General features: G+C 40.3%; 1 protein-coding gene across 3 annotated transcripts in view; it reads left to right on the top strand.

Annotated features, from left to right (window-relative positions):
- SRD5A2 (steroid 5 alpha-reductase 2) overlaps nucleotides 1–22952 on the top strand; it is a 140530-nt gene extending 117578 nt beyond the window's left edge. For all 3 annotated transcript variants that reach the window (XM_011533072.3, NM_000348.4, XM_011533069.3), the window contains 4 exons: nucleotides 11666–11829; nucleotides 13960–14061; nucleotides 15975–16125; nucleotides 19170–22952. In XM_011533072.3, coding sequence (XP_011531374.1) covers nucleotides 11666–11829; nucleotides 13960–14061; nucleotides 15975–16125; nucleotides 19170–19236 — 484 coding nt within the window. In that variant the 3' untranslated portion in view covers nucleotides 19237–22952. The remainder of the gene's footprint in view (nucleotides 1–11665; nucleotides 11830–13959; nucleotides 14062–15974; nucleotides 16126–19169) is intronic.

The following is a 24621-nucleotide window of genomic DNA, read 5'->3' as shown; positions in this document are numbered from 1 at the left end:
TTTTTGTATTTTGAGTTATCCTTGCATTCTAGAATTAAGTCTTACTTGATCATGGTCTATAATTCTGTTTATATGCTGCTCAATTTGGTTTGCTAGTATTTTGTTTAAAAAATTGCTTTGATGTTCATAAAAAATACTGCTCTATAATTTTCTTTTCTGATAGTGTCTGTGTCTAAATTTGGTGTCAGAATAATGCTGACCTCATAGAATAAGTCAGGAAGTGTTCTCTCTCCTCTTCATTTTTTTTTTGGAAAAGTTTGAGAACAATTGGGGTTAGTTCTTTAAATGGTAGAAGTATTTCTACTATTGGTAGAATTCACCAGTGAAACTGTTAGATCAAGGGCTTTTTTTTTCATTATGAGATTTTGATTTTTGATTACTTATGTAATCTCCTTACTAGTTATAAGTCTTTTCAAATTTTCTATTTCTTTATGATTTAGTCTTGGTAGGTTTAGTATTTCTAGGAATCTGAACTTTTTCATGTAGGTTATCCAATTTTGGGGGGTACAATTGTTCATAGTGCTGTCTTAGAATTCTTTTTATTCCCATAGAATAAGTAGTAATGTCCCACTTTTATTTATGATTTTAGTAATATGAGTCTTGTCTCTATTTTTCTTAGTCAATCTAAGTGTAGAATTGTCATTTTTAAAAAAAATTTTTAAAGAAGGAGCATTTGGTTTTATTGGTTTTACCCTTGTTTTTCTATTCTTGATTTCTTTGATCTTTGTTCTAATCTTAATTATTCCTTCTTTCTGGTAGCTTTGGGTTTAGCTTATTCTTTTCTAGCTCCTTAAGTTGTAAAGTTAGTTGGCTGATATAGGATCTTCCTTGTTTTTAATATAATCATTTGTAGTTTCAAATTTCATGCTTAACACTACTTTTGCTGCATCCTATAAGTTTTAGTATGTTATGTTGTCATTTTCATTCATATCTAAGTATTTTCTAATTTCCCTTTGCTTTCTCTTTTGATCCATTAATTTTTTTAAAGAATGTGTTTTAAAATTTTCACATATTTATAGATTTTTCAGTTTTACTTTTGTTATTGATTTCTAACTTTATCCTGTTGTGGTCAGAGTTGTTTTGTATATTTCTGTTAGATCTAGTTGGTTTATTGTGTTAAGTTCTCTATGTCATTACTTATATTCTGTCTAGTTATTCTATTCATTTTTGACAGTGTGGTATTGAATTCTTTAACTATTATTGCAGAAATGTCTCTTTTTACTTCAATTCTGAAGTTTTCACTGTCTTTATTTTGATGGTCTGTCATTAGGTGCATAAATGCTCATAAGTCTTCTATCTTCTTGCTATACTGAACCTTTTAAGATTAAGTACTTTTTTTGTTTCTTGTAACCATTTTTAAAAAAATTTAAAGTCCATTTTGCCTGTTAGTACAGCCACATCTGCTCTTTTTTCATTTCCATTTGCATGAAATGTCATCTTCCATTTTTCCACTTTCAATTTATTTGTGTCTTTGGAGCTAAAGTGAGTCTCTTGTAAACAGCATATATTTGGATCATTTAAAAAATCCATTCTGCTCATCTATATTGGTTGAAGAGTTTAATACATTTTCATGTATGCTATTACTGAAAAGGAGGAACTTACTTCTATAATTTTTATATTTGTTTTCTCTACACCGTATAACTCCCCATCCCTTGTTCCCTTTTGTATATATTCTATAGCTATTTTCTTTGCAGTTACCATTGGAATTACATTTAACATCCTAAATTTATAACATTCTAACTTATAAACCAGCTTAATTTCAATAACATAAAACTCTGCTACTTTAACAGCTCCTTCCCATCTCTCTTTGATTGTTAATGTCACAAAATTGCAACTTTATATATCATGTGTCACAAAACATAAATAATTCCTTGAAATGCATTAAACTCTTCTATGGAAAAAATAATGAGTTAGAAACCATAGTTTCAGTGATATTAACTTTTAGACTAATAATTGTTTTTTTAAAAAGTATTAGTTTCTTAAATCATGTACAGAACACAAAGTCAAGAAACATTGTTATAATAATACCACCTTTTACAATGTCCCTATGTTTACCTTCATTGATATTTTTATTTCTTTATATAGATTCTAGTTACTGTATAGTATGCTTTCATTTTAACCTGCAGGACTCCCTTTAACAGTTTTGGCATGGCAGATGTAGGGCAGCAAGCTATCTCAGCTTTTGTTTAGCTGGGAATGTCTTAAGTTTCTCCTCACTTTCAAGTTTTGCCAGATATGGTGTTCTTGCTTGACAGTTTCTTTTTTATATTAGCACTTTGAAAATATCAGCCCACTGCCTTCTTATCTCTAAAATTTCTGATGAGAAATTTGTAGATAATCTTATTGCAGATGCTTGGTATGTGACAAGTCATTTCTATCTCTTGCTGCTTTCAAGATTTTCTCTTTGCCTTTGTATTTGGAAAGTTTGATTATAATGTATATCCATGTGGGTATCTATGAATTCATCTTACTTGGAGTTAATTGAGCTTCTTGGAGGTTTATGTTCATGTCTTTTTTCAAATTCGAAGAATTTTTCACCATTATTTCTTCCTATATTCTCTCTACTCCTTTCTTTCTCTCTGCGTTGTCTGGGACTCTCATGGTGTGTATGTTGAGCCCCTTGATGATGTCTCACAGGTCTCTTGGGCTCTGCTCACTTTTCTTCAATTTTGTTTTCTTTTTGTTCCTCAGACTTGATGATTTCCATTGCCTTATCTTTGAGTTCTCTGATTCTTTCTTTTGCCTACTCATATCTTCCCTCAAAGCCCTCTAGTAAATTTTTCATTTCTGTTATTTTAATTTTTAGCTCCAGATGTTCTTTTTAGGTTTTCAAAATCTTTATTTGTATTGTCATTTTGTTTTATACATTGTTTTCTTGACTTCATCCACATGTACTTTTAGTTTATTTATTTATTTATTTATTGAGACAGGTTCTTGCTCTGTCATCCAGGCTGTAGTACATGGTTCAGTTAGCTCACTGCAGCCTCAACCTCCTTGGCTCAGGTGATCCTTCTGCCTTAGCCTCTTGAGTAGCTAGGACTACAGGTGTGTGCCATCCATGCCTGGATAAATAAATAAATAAATTTAATAGAGATGAGGTCTCACTATGTTGCCTAGGCTTTTAAATTTTATTTTTTGGGTATGTAGTAGGTGTATATATTCATGAGGTACATGAAGTATTTTGATACAGGCATGCAGTGCATAATAATCACTTCTAAGATACAAAATAAAGCCCTCTTTACTCTTTGCTTTCCTTTCCTTAAGCAGATGGTGGGAGTAAATTTTGTTGTGAGTTGTGTTGCCTGGTGTTGCAGGAGGAATGGCACAAGCACTTCCTTAGCCACCCTGGCTGGTGTCCAATGTTCACTGATTCTAAGCCCAGCACAGCACTAGGACTTGCCCAGGAATTGCAGTCCTTGTGGCCTAGACTGCCTCTCAAGTTTGTTTAGGATCCCAGAGCACTTAAGCCCATGGTGGTAAGTCTTGTGAAAATTCAAGTTCCAGCTGCTGGGATGGGTGATTCCCCTCTGGCTAGGGCTGATCTATATGCTCCCTGTGTGTGTTGGCATTGGCTGAGTTTAGCCCAGCTTTACTTTCCATTGTGACAGGGCAGCATTGAGTTCAATGCAGAGCCCCACAATCACTGTACTGTCCATTTCCCAGGTTTACAGATTGTCTCTCTGTGCTATGTGGCTGCTGCCAGAGGGATAGGGGAGGGGCATCATTGGCAATTCAAGACTATGTTTCTTACCTTCTTCAGTGCCTCTTTCAGCAATATGAAGTTAAACCAAGTACTGTGATTGCTTATCTGATTTCCTGTTTTTACGAAGGTGCTTTTTGTGTGTGTAGATAGTTTGTTAAATAGGTCTTCTGCAGTGGGGATCATTGTTGCAAGGTTCAGTTTGGCCATCTTGCTCCACCCTCCCTCTTTTCCAGTTCTTAAAGTATCTTCAAGACAGTTATTTTAAAGTCTTTTTTGAGTAGATCTGCTGTTAGGTCTTTTTCAGGGGCAGTTTCTGTTGACTATTTTTTCCTTTGAATGGGCTATATTTTCCTCTTTTTTTTTTGAATGCCTTGTGTTTTTTTTTGTTGAAAGTTGGGTATTTCAATTTAATGATGTGGTAACTCTGGGATGCAGACTCTTCTTTTTCCTCAAGGTTGTTTGCTTTTTGTTATTGTTTTGTTTGTTTATAAAAATTGCTTTAGTCTGTCTCTGTGCCAAGGATCAGCCTGAGGTGTAAACATAAGGTCTTTACTGGTATTCTCTGAGCTTGCATCTTTCTGTGGTCATGTGTGTTAACTTTCTAATTTTCCCCATATATTCAGTTGTTTGTGAATGTCCTTATCTTTAATATCTGGCTCCCAAAAGGAGAAAAAGAGAAAAATGAAAAAGGGAGTGGAAATAGGGTGCCAGCCCTTTAAATCTCTGGAAGTCATTTCAGCTGGATGGGGAGGGGTTTGCAACAATGGAATAAGGTGTAACAGCAAAGACCCACCACCTCTTTGTCTGTACCTCTCTGATCAGAAGCAGCAATCATCAATCTAAGCACATATGCCTGATACTTAGAGGACAGGGTCCATTTTGCTTATCCTGGCTCCTTCAAGCTGTGTGCAACAAGCTGCTGCAGGAATACATGCACAGCTGCCTGCCACAGGGGTGGGGATAGGAAATGGGTAGCTGTTACTGTGCTAAGAGCTAAAATTGACTGAGCTGAAATCAAAGTTAACTGCAATGTACCATCCAAATGTTTCCCTGAAAGTTGCAAGCCTTCAATAGACTCCAGATTTCCAAAACAGTTATATCAGACATACTCTGTCAGTGCAATTATTGCCTAAGCAGGGAGACAGATTCCTCGTGTTTCTTACTCTTGCAGCTCCCCAGGATGCTCTCCCTACCTTCCTTTATTTAATGTTTTTATGATACATCTTTTCCCCTTTTTATTACGTTTACCCTGACTATATTGTTATATTTGAGTGAGTTTCTTGTCATCAACCTATTGTTTGGTTATGTTTTAGTCAACTCTTGTCTTTTAATTGTCTTTAGCCAACTCTTGTCTTTACAATGATTTGAATTATTTACATTTATTGGATTTATTAATGTATTAATGCTTAAGTCTGAAATTTTATTTTTTGTTTTATATTTGTTCTCTCTGTTTTTCTATGTGTTTTCTTTTTTTATGCTTCCTGGTGATTATATGAATATTTTTTAGAATTTCATTTTGATTTATCCTTAGATTTGATACAAGAGAATCTCTTTCATATAGTTTTTTAGTGATTGCTCTTGGTGTTAAATTATATATGCACAATTTTTCATAGTTTAAAAGTGTTGTCATTTTACCAGTTTGAGTGTAGAAAACATACTTCCCGTAATGCCACATTTTTCTTCCTCATTTATAATATAATTGTCTTAAATATTCCCCCTTCGTACATTTAGAATTACATAATACAGTGTATTGGCATCTATTGATTTTTAAAAATTCAGTTTGAGACCTTCTTGGTTCTTGGTATGTTAAGTTATTTTCCATTGAAACCTGGACATTTTGAAACCTGAACGTGGAGGCTCCTTGTTACTTTTGTGTGGCGGTGGGGTTTTTGGCTCCCTGTTAGTCCTCCACTGATATCTGTTTGGCTGAGAGAGTTGGGAATGTTTCCTTTCACCTCCCAACTGGTTTCCACTGACACCATGGAATGCAGTGGAGGAGGGAAGGTGGCCTTGTTGTCACTGGGAAACGGTGAATATTCCAACTCTCCACTAGGGCTTCTCTGATACTACCCAGGCCAGCAGGAGGATGTGGAGTTAAGAAATCCTGGCTCCCCATGTTGTCTCTACTAACACTGTGGAGAAGTGGGATGAGCTTGTTACTTCCCAGTAGGAATTCCTGACTCCCTACCCAGCCTTTTCTGACACAGCCTGGCAAGGGGTTAGAGTGCCTATAACAGCTTGGTAAGGGGGAAGCACAGGCTTCTGCACTTCCATCAGACTTTGCTAGTGGGGTGAGAGTGAGCCAGTTTTTCTGTGGTGTTTGTTATAACAAAGCAACTATATTCTAAAAGTTTTTGTCTTTCTGGTTTTTCCCTTTTTCTCATTCCTTGGCTAGAGAAAGTAAGATTTTGTTTGGCCTTTTTGATCTGTGATGGTTCCATTTTATGGTTGCCAACTTCAATGGCTCTAAATCTGGAATATATGAGGCAAAATGAAAATCCAGGAACACACTGCTTTGTTTTTCTTCAAATCCTAAGGTTTCTAGCCCATATGCCTTGTTCTCTCCAACTTTTAGAATCTTCTCATGTTTGCTTTTTAAATAACGTCCAGAGACTCAATTATATGTAGCAGGAGGAATGTGGAAAAGCATCTCCACTTCACACCCCCCTGGAAGTAAAAGTTATGATGCATATACAGTGAGATAAAATTTGAAGCTCTGCATGCGTATGATGTGTGCCACTTATAGCACATGATAGACTCTCTTTCATTCAAAATTCATTCCAGGCCTGCTGTGTCCCAGGCACTGTTCAAGGCATTGCAGATATAGTGATGAACAAAATAGATAACATTTCTCTCTTTATGGTGCATACATTCTTGTGGGAAGAGGTGGACAATAAACACAGAAAGTAGAATATGTTAGTAAAAAATGCTACTGGAAAAAGTAAAGTAGATTTATGAGGCTAGTGAGTGCTGGAGGCATTGGAGGTTATTTATTTTACATAAGGTGGTCAGGGAAGCTAACATTTGAGCAGAGTGGCTGCAGTGAGATGGACAAAGACAAAAGTGGTAGAAGAGAGCAGAGATGTAGTTGGGGAATCAGATTGTCTAGGGTCTTGAAGGCAGTCAAGAATTTGGGCTTTCATTTAGTCATGAAGGAGGTTTTCAGAGAGAAGTAATATGATCCAGTTTACAGCTTTATTGGTCTGCTATATGGAGAATAGATTGCGGTGGAGTAAATGTGGTGGTCAAATGAGGAGGCTTTTACAAATACCCGGGAGAGGTTTAATGAGAGATTAAACTCAGATGGAATAATGGAGTTAGTGAGATGTGGCCAGATTCTGAAAACATTTTGCAGATAAAGATGACAGAAATTGCTAACAGATTTTATGTGGGGTGTGAGAGAATGAGAGAGAGAGAGAGATCAAAGATGGTCTAAGATCTTTGGCTTAAGCAATTGGAAGAATAAACTTGGCATTTACTGAGATGGGGAAGACCGAGGGAAGTGCAAGTCTGGGGAAGAATGGGGAGTCAGAGGTTTGGGTTTGACTGTGTTAAAATTGAAATATCCATTAAACTAGGGGCATAGTAGGAGGTTGCCCACAGGAGTCTGAGTTTAAGGACTGCAGATATCCTGTCTGGAGATATCAATTTGGGACTTGCTGTCCTATAGATAATTGCTTTTGTCTGTTTTGCGCTGCTATAACTGAATACCTGAGACTGGGTAATTTACAAAGAGCAGAAATCTATTTCACACGGTTCTAGAGGCTGGGATGTACAAGGCCAAGGTGCCAGCATCTGATGGACTCCTTCTTGGTGTATTCTCACGTGGAGGAAGGCAGAAGGTGAAAGGGCAAGAATGAACAAATCCACTCCCTCAAGTCCTATTTATAGCAGCATTAATCCATTCATGTTGGCAGAGCCCTCATGACCTAAACACCTCCTAAAAGGCCCCACCTTTCAGCACCGTTGCATTGGGGATTAAATTTCCAGCACACAAATTTTGGGGAACACATTCAGATTATATGAATGATATTTAATGATATGTCTAGATGTGATCACATAGACAGAGACTGTAAATAAAGAAGAAAAAGAGTCCTGAGTTCTGGGGGCACTCTCATATTTAGAGGTCAGGAGGATGAGGAGAAACCAGCAAAGGAAAATGAGAACAGATCAGTGAAGCAGAAGAACCAAGAGAGTGTGGTGTGCTGGAAGTTGAGTAAAGAAAGTGTTTCCAGAAAGAGGGAGTGATTAATTTGTCAAATAAGAAGAGAGTTGTAAATTGATTCTTGGGTTTGGGAATGTGATGGTCTCTGGTGGCCCCACCAAGATTTGTTTCCATGGGAGGAGGGGGAAGGAGGAAAGAAGTGGAGGAGAAGACAGAGATGGTGAGCATAAGCAACTCTCTGGAGTTGCTATAAAGGAAAGCAGGAAAATGGAGTAGTAGATGAACAAGGTTACAGGGTCAAGAAAGGTGTAATTACTATACAGAACAGTTAAATATATACATGGAAACTTTGTATTTATCTATAGAGTTTGAATTTATTTTGATTGACAATGAGTCTAAAATTTCATATAGTGAAAAGTCTTCAATTGGCTTGATAATCTTAGCAATAGCATTTATATTTGAAGAAGACTTAGTTAAATATGAGTTGGTCTATGCAAGATGTGTAATTTTAAAGCTTCTTTTCTTTGGTTTAATTTGGATTTGCAATTTCAGTTAACCCTTTCCAATGAATCCCCCCAAATGAATATTTACTTAGCAATGATAAAAAAACTTTATATTTACAGAGTACTTATCAGTCTCTCTATAAGAACAAACATAAAAGAATGAAAATTTACATTAGAGGTGTAGGAGGTAATTAAAGTGATGTGGTCCCAAACCAGGGAAACTGAGTCTCAGACCATAGGTGGAGCATGGGATCTGAAGGGGAAACTCACCTACAACTCTACAGCACCAATTGCCAGCCTCTTGGGCTAATAGACTCTCTCCCGCTTCTGTCATTGTCTTTGTCTTTTTCTACAGTGAAACAAGCTTTGAACTATTTCCAGCTTTCCAATAGCAAAGTTATTCAGATTAGATGAACTTTATTTGTTCTCCGGGACATCTAGTTCTCCAAAGTCTTCTGTCTGTACCATGTGTTCACCAAACCTCCTTCTTTTTCCTGCTGGGAAACCCAATCAGCTGCATTTCCCAGCCTCCCTTGCAGTTGGGTGGGGCCAAAAGAATGAGGGTGGAATTTATGCCACTTCCAGCCTGAAGCATGGTCATTAAGAAAATCTTCTACACAATCCTCCTTGTCCTCTCTCTTCCTTTGCCTGCTGGATAGATGCAGAAGATTCCTTGGAAGGGCCTGGGTCCTGAATGGCTGTGGAGCAGAAGCTTGAATAGCATCTTACTGTGGCATGAGCAAGAAATGAGCTTTTATTATGTTGATCTTTTGATACTTTGTAGTTGTTTGTTACAGTAGTGAGCCTGCCCTGATTAATACATACTTCTACTGCAAGTATTACAAAAATACAACTTTTTAAAAAATACCTTTCTGTAGCCTTTCAGGATCCTTTCCTTCTAAGAAGTCACCTTCAGGCTCCCAAAGCTTTCCTGGAGTGTGAATGCAAGGAGAAACAAATAGCAACAATCCTGTATCAGTTACTTTTTCCTGCATCATCTTATTTAATTTCTGTAGGAATCCAATGATTCTCATAAAACAGTAGTCCAATGAGTCCAGCCTCATAATCCAATAAGGTTAATAATTAACCTCAGTTTACAGATGAAGGAGTTTGTCCAAGATCACAGAGTTATGAAATAGTGAAATCCTTCGAGCCTGACCTTTTTAACCACGGAGCCCTTGCTCTCCCACTACATCTTCACTCTGTTCTTTTTCCCTCTGGGGAAGGAAGTAAAACTCATGAATCTAATTCACTTATGCACACTCTGGTATTAGAGACTCAATTTCCTTTCTCTTGTTGTGTGTATTTGTGTTTTGAAGGAGGTGAGAAACAGAGAAGGTAATTATTTACTGACATGAATTGTAGGCACTGTTGTGATTGGGTGGGGTGGGAGGCATTCTGCAGACGACATAGTAGACCTGAGTCCAGGTGTGAAGGGGAGAGGGAGACAGCAGACAGCATTTAGTTTCTAGGGAGACAGCACAGGAAACTAACCTTTCTTTCCCCTTCAGCTTTTTAATACAAATAATTAAAGATCCTCATAGTCCATTAACTGGCCAGGAGAGCAGATGGTAGAGGTGAGAAGTTTCAGCATCCTGAGAACACTTGAGCAGCCTCCCTGTTCCAACAGAATTGTCCATATTCAAGCCAAGAGAGGAAAGATGTGGAACTGCTGTTGCCAAGGGGGAAAGTGCAGGTCTTCAATACCACCTTGATGTTTTATGTTTATAAAATTTGGCTCAGCTGGGCGCGGTGGCTCATGCCTGTAATCCCAGCACTTTGGGAGGCTGAAGCAGGTGGATCACGAGGTCAAGAGTTCCAGACCAGCCTGGCCAATATGGTGAAACTCTGTCTCTACTAAAAATACAAAAATTAGCTGGGCATGGTGGCAGGTGCCTGTAGTCCCAGCTGCTTGGGAGGCTGAGGCAGGAGAATTGCTTGAACCCTGGAGGTGGAGGTTGCAGTGAGCCGAGATCGTGCCACTGCACTCCAGCCTGGGCAACAGAATGAGACTCTATCTCAAAAAAAAAAAAAAAATTGACTCACACATAATGCAACACCTGTCTGCATACTTTTGCCAGTCACTCCATAATTTAAAATGTGCTTCTTCATAGGAAGCATCAAATTAGATAATTTCATCCTCACAGCAATTTTAGGAGGCAACACTCACATATGATCCAGGTAAAAAAAATGGTGACTCACATCCCTGACATGAAGCCCAGGGCATTTCTTAGACTTCCTGTTTTTGAGAAGGAAATCTAAGACAAACCTCCCAGACTTTGAAGGATGGGTGTTCCTATCCAAAATGCAACTGTGATTATCTGTGAAATCTGCAGATCTTGTCTGCTCTTTCTTGTCTGCAAAAGATCAGATGAATGCTCTGGAGATGTGTGTGGTTGTCTAGCATGAGCATGTGCGTGTGCATTTGTACATGTGTGTGTGCATGCATATGTGTGTGTGTTTTTGTGTAAGAGACAAAGAAAGAAAAATGAATATAAAATTTACAGAATCAAATATCAGTTTTCAAAGCTTCAAGATCCAATTGTGTGTATAGGATTATCTGCCCTGTTTAGGAAAGTGTTTTCTGGAGTGGAGCTCCAAGTCTGTGATGAATGTGCCAAACTAGGGGTTCCTTCTCGGAGAGTCATCATATCCTTAGTATGCCATGGCTTGAAGAAACCCCACAATGAGTAAATATTAGGTCTTGTCTGATGTTATAGATCCCAAGCTTACTTAACTATGGATTCTCTTTTTTGAGTCTATCACTCATTCACATACAGTGACAGTACATCTTTTTGAAAATGCCAATTCAAGAGTAATTAGAAAGGTTTAATGTAGAAAACTAGGATTATCAGAAGACCTAGATTTTGCTCTTACTCTATCACTAATAGGCTTTATAATTTTTGATAAATTATTTTTATTTAGTTCTTTTTCAAGTATTTTTTTCTGCCTTGAAGGAAACATTTCTTTAAGGATATTTATTGTACTTATTTAAAATTGTTGTTCTGTCATGATAATTCCACTTTGCATGGTACATGTTATTCATTATTTATTACATAAATTATTTATATATTACATGTTGTTGATTATTTCTTAGTGGTTGTACTTTTCAGGTATGTAATTATTTTGGCCTGTGATATACATCCTCCTGGAGAAGATAATTTGTATTGGGTTAAGGCGAAATGGCAGAGCCTGGTTTTTGTACCTTCTGGTGTGAGCTTAAGAAAGAGGTGGGGATGAGACCATGTTCTTTTTTAACAGTGAATCCTAACCTTTCCTCCCTGTGTGTCCCAGGACATTTGTGTACTCACTGCTCAATCGAGGGAGGCCTTATCCAGCTATACTCATTCTCAGAGGCACTGCCTTCTGCACTGGAAATGGAGTCCTTCAAGGCTACTATCTGATTTACTGTGCTGAATACCCTGATGGGTGGTACACAGACATACGGTTTAGCTTGGGTAAGTGAATCTGCCCACTTCTCACCTACTTCCCAGCTAACAACCCTTCCCACAATCTACATCGCCATGGCCTCTCCCTACTGCAATGACCTCGTAATGATCCCATCTTCCCCTCCCTCACCTCTACCCTGATCTTTTCTCTATATGGTAGCCAGAGAGATTGTTTAAACACATATCATGCCATTTCCCATCGCAAAACTCTCCAGTAGATTTCCTTTACTCTCAAAATAAAATACAAATTCCTTCCCACTGCCTTTAAATCCTAAATATTCTTGGTCTTTTCAATTTCCCAACCTCTTTTCCTGGCTCCCTGCACCTCCTTTTCTGTGCTCCAGTGCCAGTGGCCTTCCTGCTGTGCCACAAGCTGTCAAGCTTGTCCAGCCCCAGTGTTTTTGTATAGGACTGTTCCCTCTGCCTAGTACAGGGGTGTCCAGTCTTTTGGCTTCCCTGGACCACATTGGAAAAAGAAGAATTGCCTTGGGCTACACATATAATTCACTAACACCAATGATAGCTGATAAGCTGAAAGAAACATTGTTTCTTAAAACAATGTTTTAAGAAAGTGTACGAATTTGTGTCAGGCCACATCCAAAACTGTCCTGGGCTGCATGTGGCCCACAGGCTGTGGGTTGGACAAGCCTGGCCTAGAAGGCTTTGCCCCCATGTATTCATGGGGGTTGGTTCCTCACTTTATTTAGTTCCCTACCAATTTGCACCTCCTCAAAGGGACTTTCCCTGACCACCCTATCTAAAATGGTTGAAGACACTGCTGTGTGTGCTGTCCCCCTTCCCTCCCCGCTCCCCTACCATCCCCTGCCCCAGATACCCTTTCTTCCAGGCTAATGATCTTTTGACTAGGCAAGGTGGAAAATCCTTGTTTTATATCAAATCAAATAAGGTGAGAATAGACTTGATTGTTTCAACTAAACTGTTCTTGCTTTTTGCCTATTTTGAAAAGCACCAAAGTGCTTTGCTGACAGGTTGGGTTGGGCCTCTTTGTGGGACGGTGAGTGTTTCTGGGCTGTAATAATGCCTTTTGGGATGCAGGATCTAGCATCCCTGATCCTGGCTGTCCTCACCTCAGAACAGGGCCCTTTCTGTACCAGTGGATAGTGCATGTGGAGACACCTCCAGGATATGTGGCTAAGTAAGATAAATAAAAATGTGAACAGTGTGTGTAGTATGCTACTTTTAATGTCAGAATGTGTGTGTGTGTGTGTGTGTGTGTGTGTGTGTGTGTGAACTGGCAGTGATGGAAGTCAGTTTGTTAGTGGCCACGCCTCCAAACTAGCTCACGTTATTTCATGAGAGTGGGTGTTTCAGTCAGGAATGCGTTCAGAAAACCATATAATAGTGACGGGAATAATTCAGAATTCATAGTTCTTACATAACAAGTGTCGAAGTAGGTGGCTTCTGCATTCCTGTGGTTGCTTACTGACACCATTAATAACTCAGGCACTTTGTGTCTCCCCTATTCTTAGCATGTTTACCTGTGGTCCTCTTATTCATCACTTCATGGTTGCAAGATGTTGACTGTAGCTCAAGGCATTACATCTGGCAATCAAGACAGGAAGAAAGACGAAGTAGGGGCACCGGTCTTGCCTGCACCTTTTATCAGAAAAGCAAACGATTTCCAAGGAAGTCCCCCAACCAAGACTTCACTTTACATCTTATTGGTGGAACTAGCTCATGTGACCCCCTTTCTCAGTGCAACCTCTGTAGTGGGGGATGGCAAAAGAAAAGGGGCTGGAATCAGCTGTTGAGATATGAAACCTCGATTTGACTGTTTGTGAATGAGCTAAAGGCTTACTATTATGATCCATGCATTTGTTTGTTTATCTATTTAAATACTGGACAATGGTGCTACCTCCTGCTCTCCTCTCTTTTCTAATCTGTCTCCATCAGTGGTGCCACTGTGTACTTTCAGCCCAAGTCTAGGAAACAGCACACCCAGTGCTCCCCATTCAGGACCAGGACTCATTGCCCTCCCCACTTTCTGCCACGTCTTAGGACCATTCTTAGATTTAGAAATTAAATGCCCCTCCTTTCATTTTAGCTTAGTTTGTGAAAAAAGCACCACAATCTGGACACATTTAAAAAAAATTTCTCCTTTCTCTCTTCTTTGTCAAGGTGTCTTCTTATTTATTTTGGGAATGGGAATAAACATTCATAGTGACTATATATTGCGCCAGCTCAGGAAGCCTGGAGAAATCAGCTACAGGATTCCACAAGGTAATGTCTCCCCTGCCCCCAGACTCTCACTCTTCCCTGGAGCCTGTCCCAGGGATGATGCTATGGTAGCAGATGGAGAGGGGACAGTGAGGGCACGAATGATACAATACCTCTCAGCTTGCTCTTGACTTCCCCTGCAAACCCAGTCCCATCACAGTACCTCTGCATTTCTAATCTGAACCCAGAAGCTCCAGAGAGCTACCAGAGCCCTCAGGAAGGTGCGAGACCGCAATACCCGGAAGGTGGGAGAGAGTGGGAGATTTGAGTAGGGTTGGAATCGGCTACCTACACCCTCATTGCAGTAGGTAAGGTTGTCATGTACAGAGGGCTGATCCTTTCTAGGTTGCAAATGATGCTGAATGCTTGGCCAATAAATGTGTCCCCTCCAATTGATCTAGACTTATCTTGTGAGCAGTTAAGGCTAGAACTTGCGTATTTCCTGCCATTCATATATACTTTTAAAGGTGTAGAGAACTATATTTACTTAATCAAAACTTAGGATGGGAGGCCTTACAAGCACAAGTGCATTTTTGGAGATAAAGGTGAGCATGTTTGTAATCCTAACTGCTCCAAAGAAACCAGGGTATGAGATTGACAAATATACGCAGATGGGAGCAAATCAGTCCAAGTCATCCTTCAGTAGGTTTAGATGGGTATTTGTGTAGGTCCTTGGCTTCCACCGTTTTTGATGTAAATACAACCCTTTATTTACATCAAAAAATTTCCTCAATTATGACATGATGTTAGTGCACATTAATAGTCATTGATTAAGAAATTAATGACAAAGTTACTATGAATTCAGTAACAGATTCAAATGAATTTGAATGTTGTTAATATCCTAACAGTATCTACATCAAACAAAAATAATTTAGGAGGTTAAGATGTGCCGTTTACTGTCTTCATAGAAAATTTATAGGCCCTTTGCTTTAGATCCGTGGTTCCTCCCAGGGCGTAGGGAATCACAGGTTGGGAACCACTGACGCAGTCTCATCTTCAAGAAAGATTCAACTCTAAGGGGCTTTGATTTTAAAAACATTCACTCCATAACTAGATAAATAAAGAAGAGCAGAGAAAGCACTTGAAAACCAGTTGCCAAGATTAGTTTCCAACTTTTGAATTATAATAGAGAATGATTTAAAACAAAGTATTTTTATGTAACTGTAGAAAGAACAAAATTGTTTCGGTTGAAACATCCCCAGTTTAATGTGGGTAATAAAATTTAGTGTGGATATATTTAATATCATTAGAAATATGCTGATTTCTAGATACAGTCCTGAGAGAAGAAATACCTGGTTGGATAGAAAATGAAACATTTAAAATCTAGAAGCCGACTTCACCAGCCTACAGCAGGACAAATACCTGCAGCTCCTACTCTCTGCTTTAAACATGAACAGAGGAGAGTGCTTTGCAGAAGGGTGGGGAGGGGCAAATCCCATAAGAGAATCTAAATTCCTTCTCCCGTGAGTTCAGATTTTTATTATTTTAATGTAGTGTGCAGTTTCACATTTTGGGACTGTGAATGTGAACGTGTGTGTGTCCAGGAAAGGAGCGGGGAGGTAAGAGGTGGCCCAAAAACCTTCCTTAACAGAACAAAACAAAAACCAGACCTCCTACACCTCTCCCTTATCCTACCCAAAGCTAGTGGTCCAGCAGTTGTTAGAGATTTGGATAGAGCCCGTTAAGCAGTTGAGGCCACTCTTCGCAACTCCAGAATGTTCTCCAGGCAACAGGCTGTTGTTGCTTTGTTTCCCCTTCTCCCCAAGAGGATTCCACCAAACTCCTATGACTATGGAGGGAGCCTCCAGCCCCACATTTGTTCTTGCTGCCTTTGTGTATTTTGGAACAACACAGATGGGTTTAATGTCAAAATGATTCAGTTGCAATGATTGACCTTCCGATTCTTCTGCACGCAGGTGGCTTGTTTACGTATGTTTCTGGAGCCAATTTCCTCGGTGAGATCATTGAATGGATCGGCTATGCCCTGGCCACTTGGTCCCTCCCAGCACTTGCATTTGCATTTTTCTCACTTTGTTTCCTTGGGCTGCGAGCTTTTCACCACCATAGGTAAATTTTTCAATAAAAGCGGCAGCATTCACGTAGCTTTCTTCTTCTCCAAACAGGCTTTTAACCCGCAGAGGAAGATTGAGAAACCGAAGATATTTAATTTTTTAAGGGAAGGTTGATACTATAATCTGGGTTAGCATATTCTGACTTGCTGGGCTTGTATTGAAGTTGGAAGTTAGCTGGATGAGAGTAGCAGTAATAAAATTTTTTCTAAGAACAAACATAAGTCCATGTAAACAGAGGCAACTGAGGTGACGGCCGGGAAGGTCCTGTGCCTGTCTTGTTGAAGAAGGCTGTCCAGCGAGAAGTGCCTTGCACCTTCTTGGGTTAGCTGACCCAGGCTCTGTGCCCACCAGGCAGGCTTACCTGGAGATGCTTAGATAAAGCCTCAAGAAGCGGAAGAAGCCGCTTCCATTTCCACCTTCAGTTTCATCCCCTCCCACCACATTTCTGGAAGTGTGCTCCAGAGGTGGGACCATGGCCAGCACTTTCCAAAGCTCCACAGATATTTATTTATTTATTTATTTATTTATTTATTTTTGAGTTGGAGTCTCACTCTGATGCCCAGGCTGAAGTGCAATGGGGCGATCTTGCCTCACTGCAGCCTTCACCTCCCAGGTTCAAGTGATTCTCCCACCTCAGCCTTCCAAATGGCTGAGACTACAGGCCCACCACCATGCCCAGCTAACTTTTTGCATTTTTAGTAGAGACAAGTTTCACCATGTTGGCCAGGCTGTCCTTGAACTCCTGACCTCAAGTGATCTGCCTGCCTCGGCCTCCCAAAGGGCTGGGATTACAGGCAAAGCCATCACGCCTGGCCTCCACAGATGTTCTGAGGCACAGCAGGCTAGAGAACCACTGGGAAAAAGTACTATCTTGGTGACTATGTGGCTGCTATTTTTGGCAACAAGATTTGGTGCTAACAGTTCAGGTAATCACAGAGCCCTGGAACTCCAGAAGGATTATTTCCCCTGGAATCTCTGCAATGCCAGGGTTTATTTTGGTACTGCCTTCCTTCCCTGACACCCACCCTCTATAAATCATAACCAAGGCCAACCCTGGATTCTGGGGAAGGTAGGACAAGAAATCCCATGTATGGGGCAATCTTAGGACTGCCCTATCTGCTGGGAAATGCCAGGGATTGCAGGTGTTTCAGAACCCTCCCTCTGAAGGTCTGGCCTAAAGCTTCACTAATCCACTAACCTGGGGTGGAGTGGGGACAAAAGAATTAACTAAAAGTATTGCTGGAAGTGAAAGGTAATATATTAGGTTGTTATCAGGCTTTAACTTGCCAAGTGTAAATGTCAGATCCTTTCCCTAAAATGGCTTTTGTGGAAAGAGAAAGCCTATAATTACTGGAGACTATGGATACTCAAACAGGGAATGAGTGGTCTTGGAACCAGGACCCTGGGGTTATGACTCAATGCCTAGTTTTGAAGATTTAACTAAGAATGAGTTCCTTTTTTTCTGATTAGAATTGTTCGAGGACAACAGTTCTGAAATGAATGAAGCAACAGCTAGTGACCTATTCCTACCACCTCCTAGACTCTGTGAGGAGGGGTGGCAGAGGGTTCCTAGCCCATAAAAGAGTCATAACAGTTCTTACCATTTCAGGCTGGGTCTGCTGCCCACCAGAGGCAGAGCGGGAATGGGAGAAGAGAAGGCATCACTCAGCACTTGGAGGGTCCCTGGGAAGGAGGGACTCTACTGTGCTTGGTTAGGGGAGGGATGGTAATTCCACCAGACGTTTCCAGCTGCTGCAACAACAAAACCCAAATTGAGGCCTCATCCTGTGATGTCAGACCTCCCAGAGAAGGGCCAGAAGGCATAGTTTTTAATAGGCTAACAGGACTTTGTGAAGGCTTCTATAAAACAAAGCCAGGCACTCACATCAGAGGCAGCACGGGCGGAGGCAGCCCACCAGACTTCTCAAATCACAGTACCGAAAACCAGCCACCTTTTGTAACTTATTATTTGCCCCCTAATTCAAACTAAGGTACTTTAATACAGTGTGTCATCTTGATTATGCCTTGAGGACCGCCAGCATCAACTAGTTAGGAAGACAGCCTGGCAACTTAAGCAGACAGGCTTCTTATAAGATGCATTCGTCTCCTGTGGCTGCTGCAATACATTACCACAAACTGGGCGGCTTAAAACAACACAGATTTGTCCTTTCATAGTTCTGGAGGCTAGAATTTTGAAATCGAGGCGTAGGCAGGGCCAGGCCCCCGTGACGGCTCTAGGGAAGAATTCTTCCTTGCCTCTTTTTAGCTTCTGATGGTGGCCGGCAACCCTTGGTGTTCCGTGGCTTATAGCTGCATCACTCTGATCTCTGCCTCCGTCTTCACATGGCCTTCTCTCCTGTGTGTCTCTGTCTCAGTCTCTTTGTCTCTTCTCCTCTTCTTTTTAGGACACAGTTATATTGGATTAAGGGCACACCCTGCTCCATTATGACCTCATCTTAATTTTATCTGCAATGGTCCTAGTTTCAGAAAAAAAAAAATTACCCTCTCAGTTACTGGGGGTTAGGACTTCAACATATCTTTTGACGAGACAAAATTCAACCCATGATACATGGTGACAATTTGCTGGCATTCCCAGGCCTCATGAAGGGATATTTTCCTGGGAACATTGCTGGTTCTCTTTGCCCATAGTCTTTGGTTCCCTGTATTTCCCAGCTGAATCCAAACAAGTACCTCCTTCTAGATACTACATTTTTTTTTCTGGTAGGATATACGTAACAAAAATTTTACCACTTTAGCCGTTTTTAATTGTAAAATTCAGTGGCATTAGGTACATTCATAATATTGCACAGCCATCACCACTACCCTCTGCCTGTTACTTTTCATTTCCCAGCAAAAGAAGCTTCAACATTTACAAGAAATAGGCTGTGGGAAGGAGAAATAAGAATCATAAGTGACCATCGAAATAGTCAGGCCCAAAATAACTGTAGGTTGACTTGTAACAAAGATTTGGTAAGAGCAAACCTCAGCTGTCAGCCACTGCTCCATTATATTTACAATTATTCCTTTCTTGTCTTTTAGGTTCTACCTCAAGATGTTTGAGGACTACCCCAAATCTCGGAAAGCCCTTATTCCATTCATCTTTTAAAGGAACCAAATTAAAAAGGAGCAGAGCTCCCACAATGCTGATGAAAACTGTCAAGCTGCTGAAACTGTAATTTTCATGATATAATAGTCCCGTATATATGTAATAGTAGGTCTCCTGGCGTTCTGCCAGCTGGCCTGGGGATTCTGAGTGGTGTCTGCTTAGAGTTTACTCCTACCCTTCCAGGGACCCCTATCCTGATCCCCAACTGAAGCTTCAAAAAGCCACTTTTCCAAATGGCGACAGTTGCTTCTTAGCTATTGCTCTGAGAAAGTACAAACTTCTCCTATGTCTTTCACCGGGCAATCCAAGTACATGTGGCTTCATACCCACTCCCTGTCAATGCAGGACAACTCTGTAATCAAGAATTTTTTGACTTGAAGGCAGTACTTATAGACCTTATTAAAGGTATGCATTTTATACATGTAACAGAGTAGCAGAAATTTAAACTCTGAAGCCACAAAGACCCAGAGCAAACCCACTCCCAAATGAAAACCCCAGTCATGGCTTCCTTTTTCTTGGTTAATTAGGAAAGATGAGAAATTATTAGGTAGACCTTGAATACAGGAGCCCTCTCCTCATAGTGCTGAAAAGATACTGATGCATTGACCTCATTTCAAATTTGTGCAGTGTCTTAGTTGATGAGTGCCTCTGTTTTCCAGAAGATTTCACAATCCCCGGAAAACTGGTATGGCTATTCTTGAAGGCCAGGTTTTAATAACCACAAACAAAAAGGCATGAACCTGGGTGGCTTATGAGAGAGTAGAGAACAACATGACCCTGGATGGCTACTAAGAGGATAGAGAACAGTTTTACAATAGACATTGCAAACTCTCATGTTTTTGGAAACTAGTGGCAATATCCAAATAATGAGTAGTGTAAAACAAAGAGAATTAATGATGAGGTTACATGCTGCTTGCCTCCACCAGATGTCCACAACAATATGAAGTACAGCAGAAGCCCCAAGCAACTTTCCTTTCCTGGAGCTTCTTCCTTGTAGTTCTCAGGACCTGTTCAAGAAGGTGTCTCCTAGGGGCAGCCTGAATGCCTCCCTCAAAGGACCTGCAGGCAGAGACTGAAAATTGCAGACAGAGGGGCACGTCTGGGCAGAAAACCTGTTTTGTTTGGCTCAGACATATAGTTTTTTTTTTTTTTACAAAGTTTCAAAAACTTAAAAATCAGGAGATTCCTTCATAAAACTCTAGCATTCTAGTTTCATTTAAAAAGTTGGAGGATCTGAACATACAGAGCCCACATTTCCACACCAGAACTGGAACTACGTAGCTAGTAAGCATTTGAGTTTGCAAACTCTTGTGAAGGGGTCACCCCAGCATGAGTGCTGAGATATGGACTCTCTAAGGAAGGGGCCGAACGCTTGTAATTGGAATACATGGAAATATTTGTCTTCTCAGGCCTATGTTTGCGGAATGCATTGTCAATATTTAGCAAACTGTTTTGACAAATGAGCACCAGTGGTACTAAGCACAGAAACTCACTATATAAGTCACATAGGAAACTTGAAAGGTCTGAGGATGATGTAGATTACTGAAAAATGCAAATTGCAATCATATAAATAAGTGTTTTTGTTGTTCATTAAATACCTTTAAATCATGGATGTTAAGCAGTTTTGTTTGAATTAAAATATCCTGGGACTTCTGGAGATTTTCACAAGGTATTGGGGTGTGCTTCCCTGTCCCGCCTGTCCCTCATTCCCATTCACCCTGTCTGTAGTGTCGTTTCCTTTCTTCTCTTCTCTCTTCATGAAATTAGGGGCTGTGTGCTGGAAATAAAGAAGTATGACTTATACAGCCTCTCAGCCACAATTCAGAACTACAAGGAAGTACAATAAAGGTGCAGGAAAACGTCATGAGGTTAGATGCCACTCCTGGTGCTGAGGAATACACAGGGGGAATGAACACACTTGGTGAAGTAAATCTTCAGGTGTAGCTTGAGCTCTGTGACATAAAAGACTTCCAGTTCTCTCCATGACATTGAAAACTACCTTGCTTAAGTCCTTTATTTTACTACCATGTAAAACATCCAGGCCGGTCCTTGAGATGAAATAAATATACAATAAATGGCAGTACTCAGTCTCAGGACAAAACCGCCATTTGGCAATTTCACTTTTTGCCACAAGAGGGCGCTTTCTAAAATAGTATTTAGTCCAACCTTGACTTAATTAGGTCCAACCCCAGTCCTGTTGCCTGATCGTGGACCTTTCAAGTTAGCATGATCGTGGAACTTCTTAATCTGAATATAGGGTAGAGTAGCGTGAACTCTATGAAAGCTGAAACCTTCCCTTGATAATTCAGGTATTCTCAGTGTTCTAGGGCTGTTGTGTTCAATGACAGTTTGTCATTGTTTAGGGCTAGGATATGTATGTGGATTAAATACAGTAAAGGTCTGAACATGTGCTCATCTCTAAACATATTTCTTCCCACTTTTAAAAATAGGGTGCAACAAAATTATAGTTAATTGAGGTTTCCATGGACTGTTTTTTGGCTAAAATAATCTAACAGTGTCCTAGCTCACAAGATACTCTATCTTGGTCTTGCTGAAGCTTTCACGGAAGAGGCGTTTTCCTGCCAACCTTGAAGAAAATGTTGAGTTTTGTTTGTTTTTCAGAATTTAGACTTAAAGAGCTGAAGCAGACCTCAGACATCAGCTATTCCTACCACTTCACATTATAGGTAGTGACACTGAGACCCACAGAGTTAAAAGGCCTCCTCACAGCTGGTACAGAGCTGGTCAGAGCAGCCATCTCATTTTGTCCCTTTGAGGGTCAGATGTATGCTTCTTCTGCTTAAGGCACAGCCTTTAGGGCTGCCATCTGGATTTCTACAGAGCTCATGCAGGAGAAAAATAGCCAGAGCTTAAGTGCTGTTGCATAGTTCAGTTTATACACCTATTGTCCCATGCCTGTTTGTGTGTGAGGCTTCCCTCGCTCCGTGGGAGCACCAGGCTCATGCCCTTTCATAAACCTATTTGACAGAATAGAGAGTTTTCCCTCATTGGTGTAGTCAAGACAACATGTGTGTTCAGCATGGAAAAAAGGTTTCAGGTCATAAACCCCCTTATCCCTAATGCTTACTTTCATAAAGAACAACAGTGGCTCCACTGTATTCTAAAAGGAAAAAGGAGCTCTAATGAGAAATACGCAATTAAACAGCTATTTAGGCGGCTTAGACCCTTTCAGGAACAAATAAATAAATCCGTGGTTTTACAACCCTGAAGTTTGATAATAGCTCTCTTGGATTTTTGTGGTTACCTCATGGCAATCTCACTAAGAAGCAGGGGAGCAAGCTCTTGGCACATGAAGGAATAGGCTCATGAAGATTCATTTCTTTTCCCGCTTGGCCTTTTGGTTCTCTAATAAGCTGTGAGCTGAGGTCCATGCAGGGAAAACAAGGAGGGTAACGGCAAATGTAAAGTGAATTTTTCTGGAGAAGGATGCTGATTATTTTATAGCATCTACACTATCCTATGATGAAAGAGGCATAGAGCCGGGTGGCAATGTGAGTTCTTGGGTGATTTAATAAGCCATCGAGTGGATTTAATTTCTAAGTAAGACATTTGTTTATTCTTTGTACAAGTCCATGGAGTTGTGATCTTAAAGAGTTCTGTGTTATTTGCATTGTGCCTCATTTCTCCCCATCAACCTTAGCTTGAGATTTGGATGAATAAAATAAATAACTGGAGAAGGTTAAAGTATGCACCAAGCTGTGTTAGTTTCTTTAGTCCTGTCTTTTTGGGTTGAGGGTTTGGTTTTGCTCAATGCAGTAACAATCTAGATTCTTTATTGGAGGGATAGCGAATATCCCTTCCGACATGGCAAGCTGGCTGGGAGGAGGAGGACAACAGAGAAAGTGGAGGAAGGAGGGGAGTAATGAGCGAGGGTCTAAGGGAGGGTTGGCAATGGAAGGCCCTTGAGAGAGAGGGGCCTCCCACTGACAGAGTGGGCTTCCTCCCTTTCCTGTGTCCAGGCTGCACAAGCCTGGTCCCTTCTTTATCCTCCCAGGAAAAGACCTCCCTCTGACAGAGAGAATAAACACTTGTTAGAGCTCCATTTCATAAAAGAAGAAGCTGACTTTTAAAAAACACAAGCCATTTGGCTGTGCTTCACCATAAATAATTGTATTTCTGTCTGCTCACCTCGTAAAGATAGTTTTAGTTCTGCGTAGTAGTGACATTGTGAGAAAGAGGTGAAGTAATTGCTCTTAGAGCGTGTGGCAGCATCCAAGTCGGCTGAGGCCAATGGGAAGATGGGAGCATCCAGAAGAATAAGCAACTGCCAGGGTTCCCCTTTTCAAGGCCTTTGTTTTCCTTTACTCCAGACGCACTCCCCAAAAAAGGATCCTTCCTTATAGAGAAGCGTTTTTACAGTGTTGACTAGAAAGCAATACCGTAAAATCAATTAAATTTTGTCAATGTATTAGTGCTTTCATTTGTTACAAGTTGCCTTTCAGATACTATTTCATTAAAATAATTCTTTATGATGGTTTATAACAGGATAAGCTCTGAACAGATAAGTAAGTGAGGGGAAGTAGAAATAGGAGTAAAAAGTAAAATAAAGCCAGAGATAAAGTTAAAATGCAAAAATGCCCTTGGAAGATCATGTACAGTGGCTAAATCTAAACATAAATTGGGTCCTGAGTCTCCAAAGTACAGAAGGAAATTACCAGTTGCTAAATCCACAACATTCACAAAAGAAAAACAACTTGACCAGGGAAACACAACTATTACCGGTACTGAGACTCATGATAAATTTCTACACTGTGTGATGTGGGGAACTATGTTCATGAGAGCATCTTTACAATAAATGCAGGGGTCACTTTGTGCAGCTTCTTATAATGTCTTTCCACAAGGACAACATTCTAATGCGCAGCTCAATTCTTTAGAAGCAAAGGGGATGAGGAGGTTTTTTTTCCACTTAGGGTGTAGAAAGCCACCAGATAACCATTCCTACTCTAAAAATGAGAAAAAACCAGATAGTATATAAGATTATAACTTTTTGAGCCTTTTAATGAACTGAGATAGGAGAGCAACCAGAAGAACTGAATTTCAGAGGAAACACACAAACCGTTTCACTTTCAGCGGAGTATGGGAGGAAGAGGTAATGGCCATAAGAGTGGGAAAGAAGAAAACAACAGAAATTTCAATGAATTATCAATAGCTGAGTGGAACCTAGCATGAGATTAGAATCCCTGGGAGACTCAGACACTTGGCTGAACAAGCATCCAGATCTGCCCCAGGATGAGGAGTTTCCTGGGACACAGGACTTTCTGTGCTCAAACTGGAAAAGTCCTAGGCAGACCAGGATGACCTGGTCACCTTAGTCTGGTTGCCAGGTCTTTTACCCAGACCTCCACCTGGAGCTTATGAGGTGGG

The sequence above is a fragment of the Homo sapiens genome, chromosome 2 (genome assembly GCF_000001405.40).
Source record: "Homo sapiens chromosome 2, GRCh38.p14 Primary Assembly".
NCBI classification, from domain to species: Eukaryota; Metazoa; Chordata; class Mammalia; order Primates; family Hominidae; genus Homo; species Homo sapiens.
The sequence above is the reverse complement of the archived record's forward strand: the minus strand, read 5'-3'. Positions and strand labels throughout refer to the sequence as shown.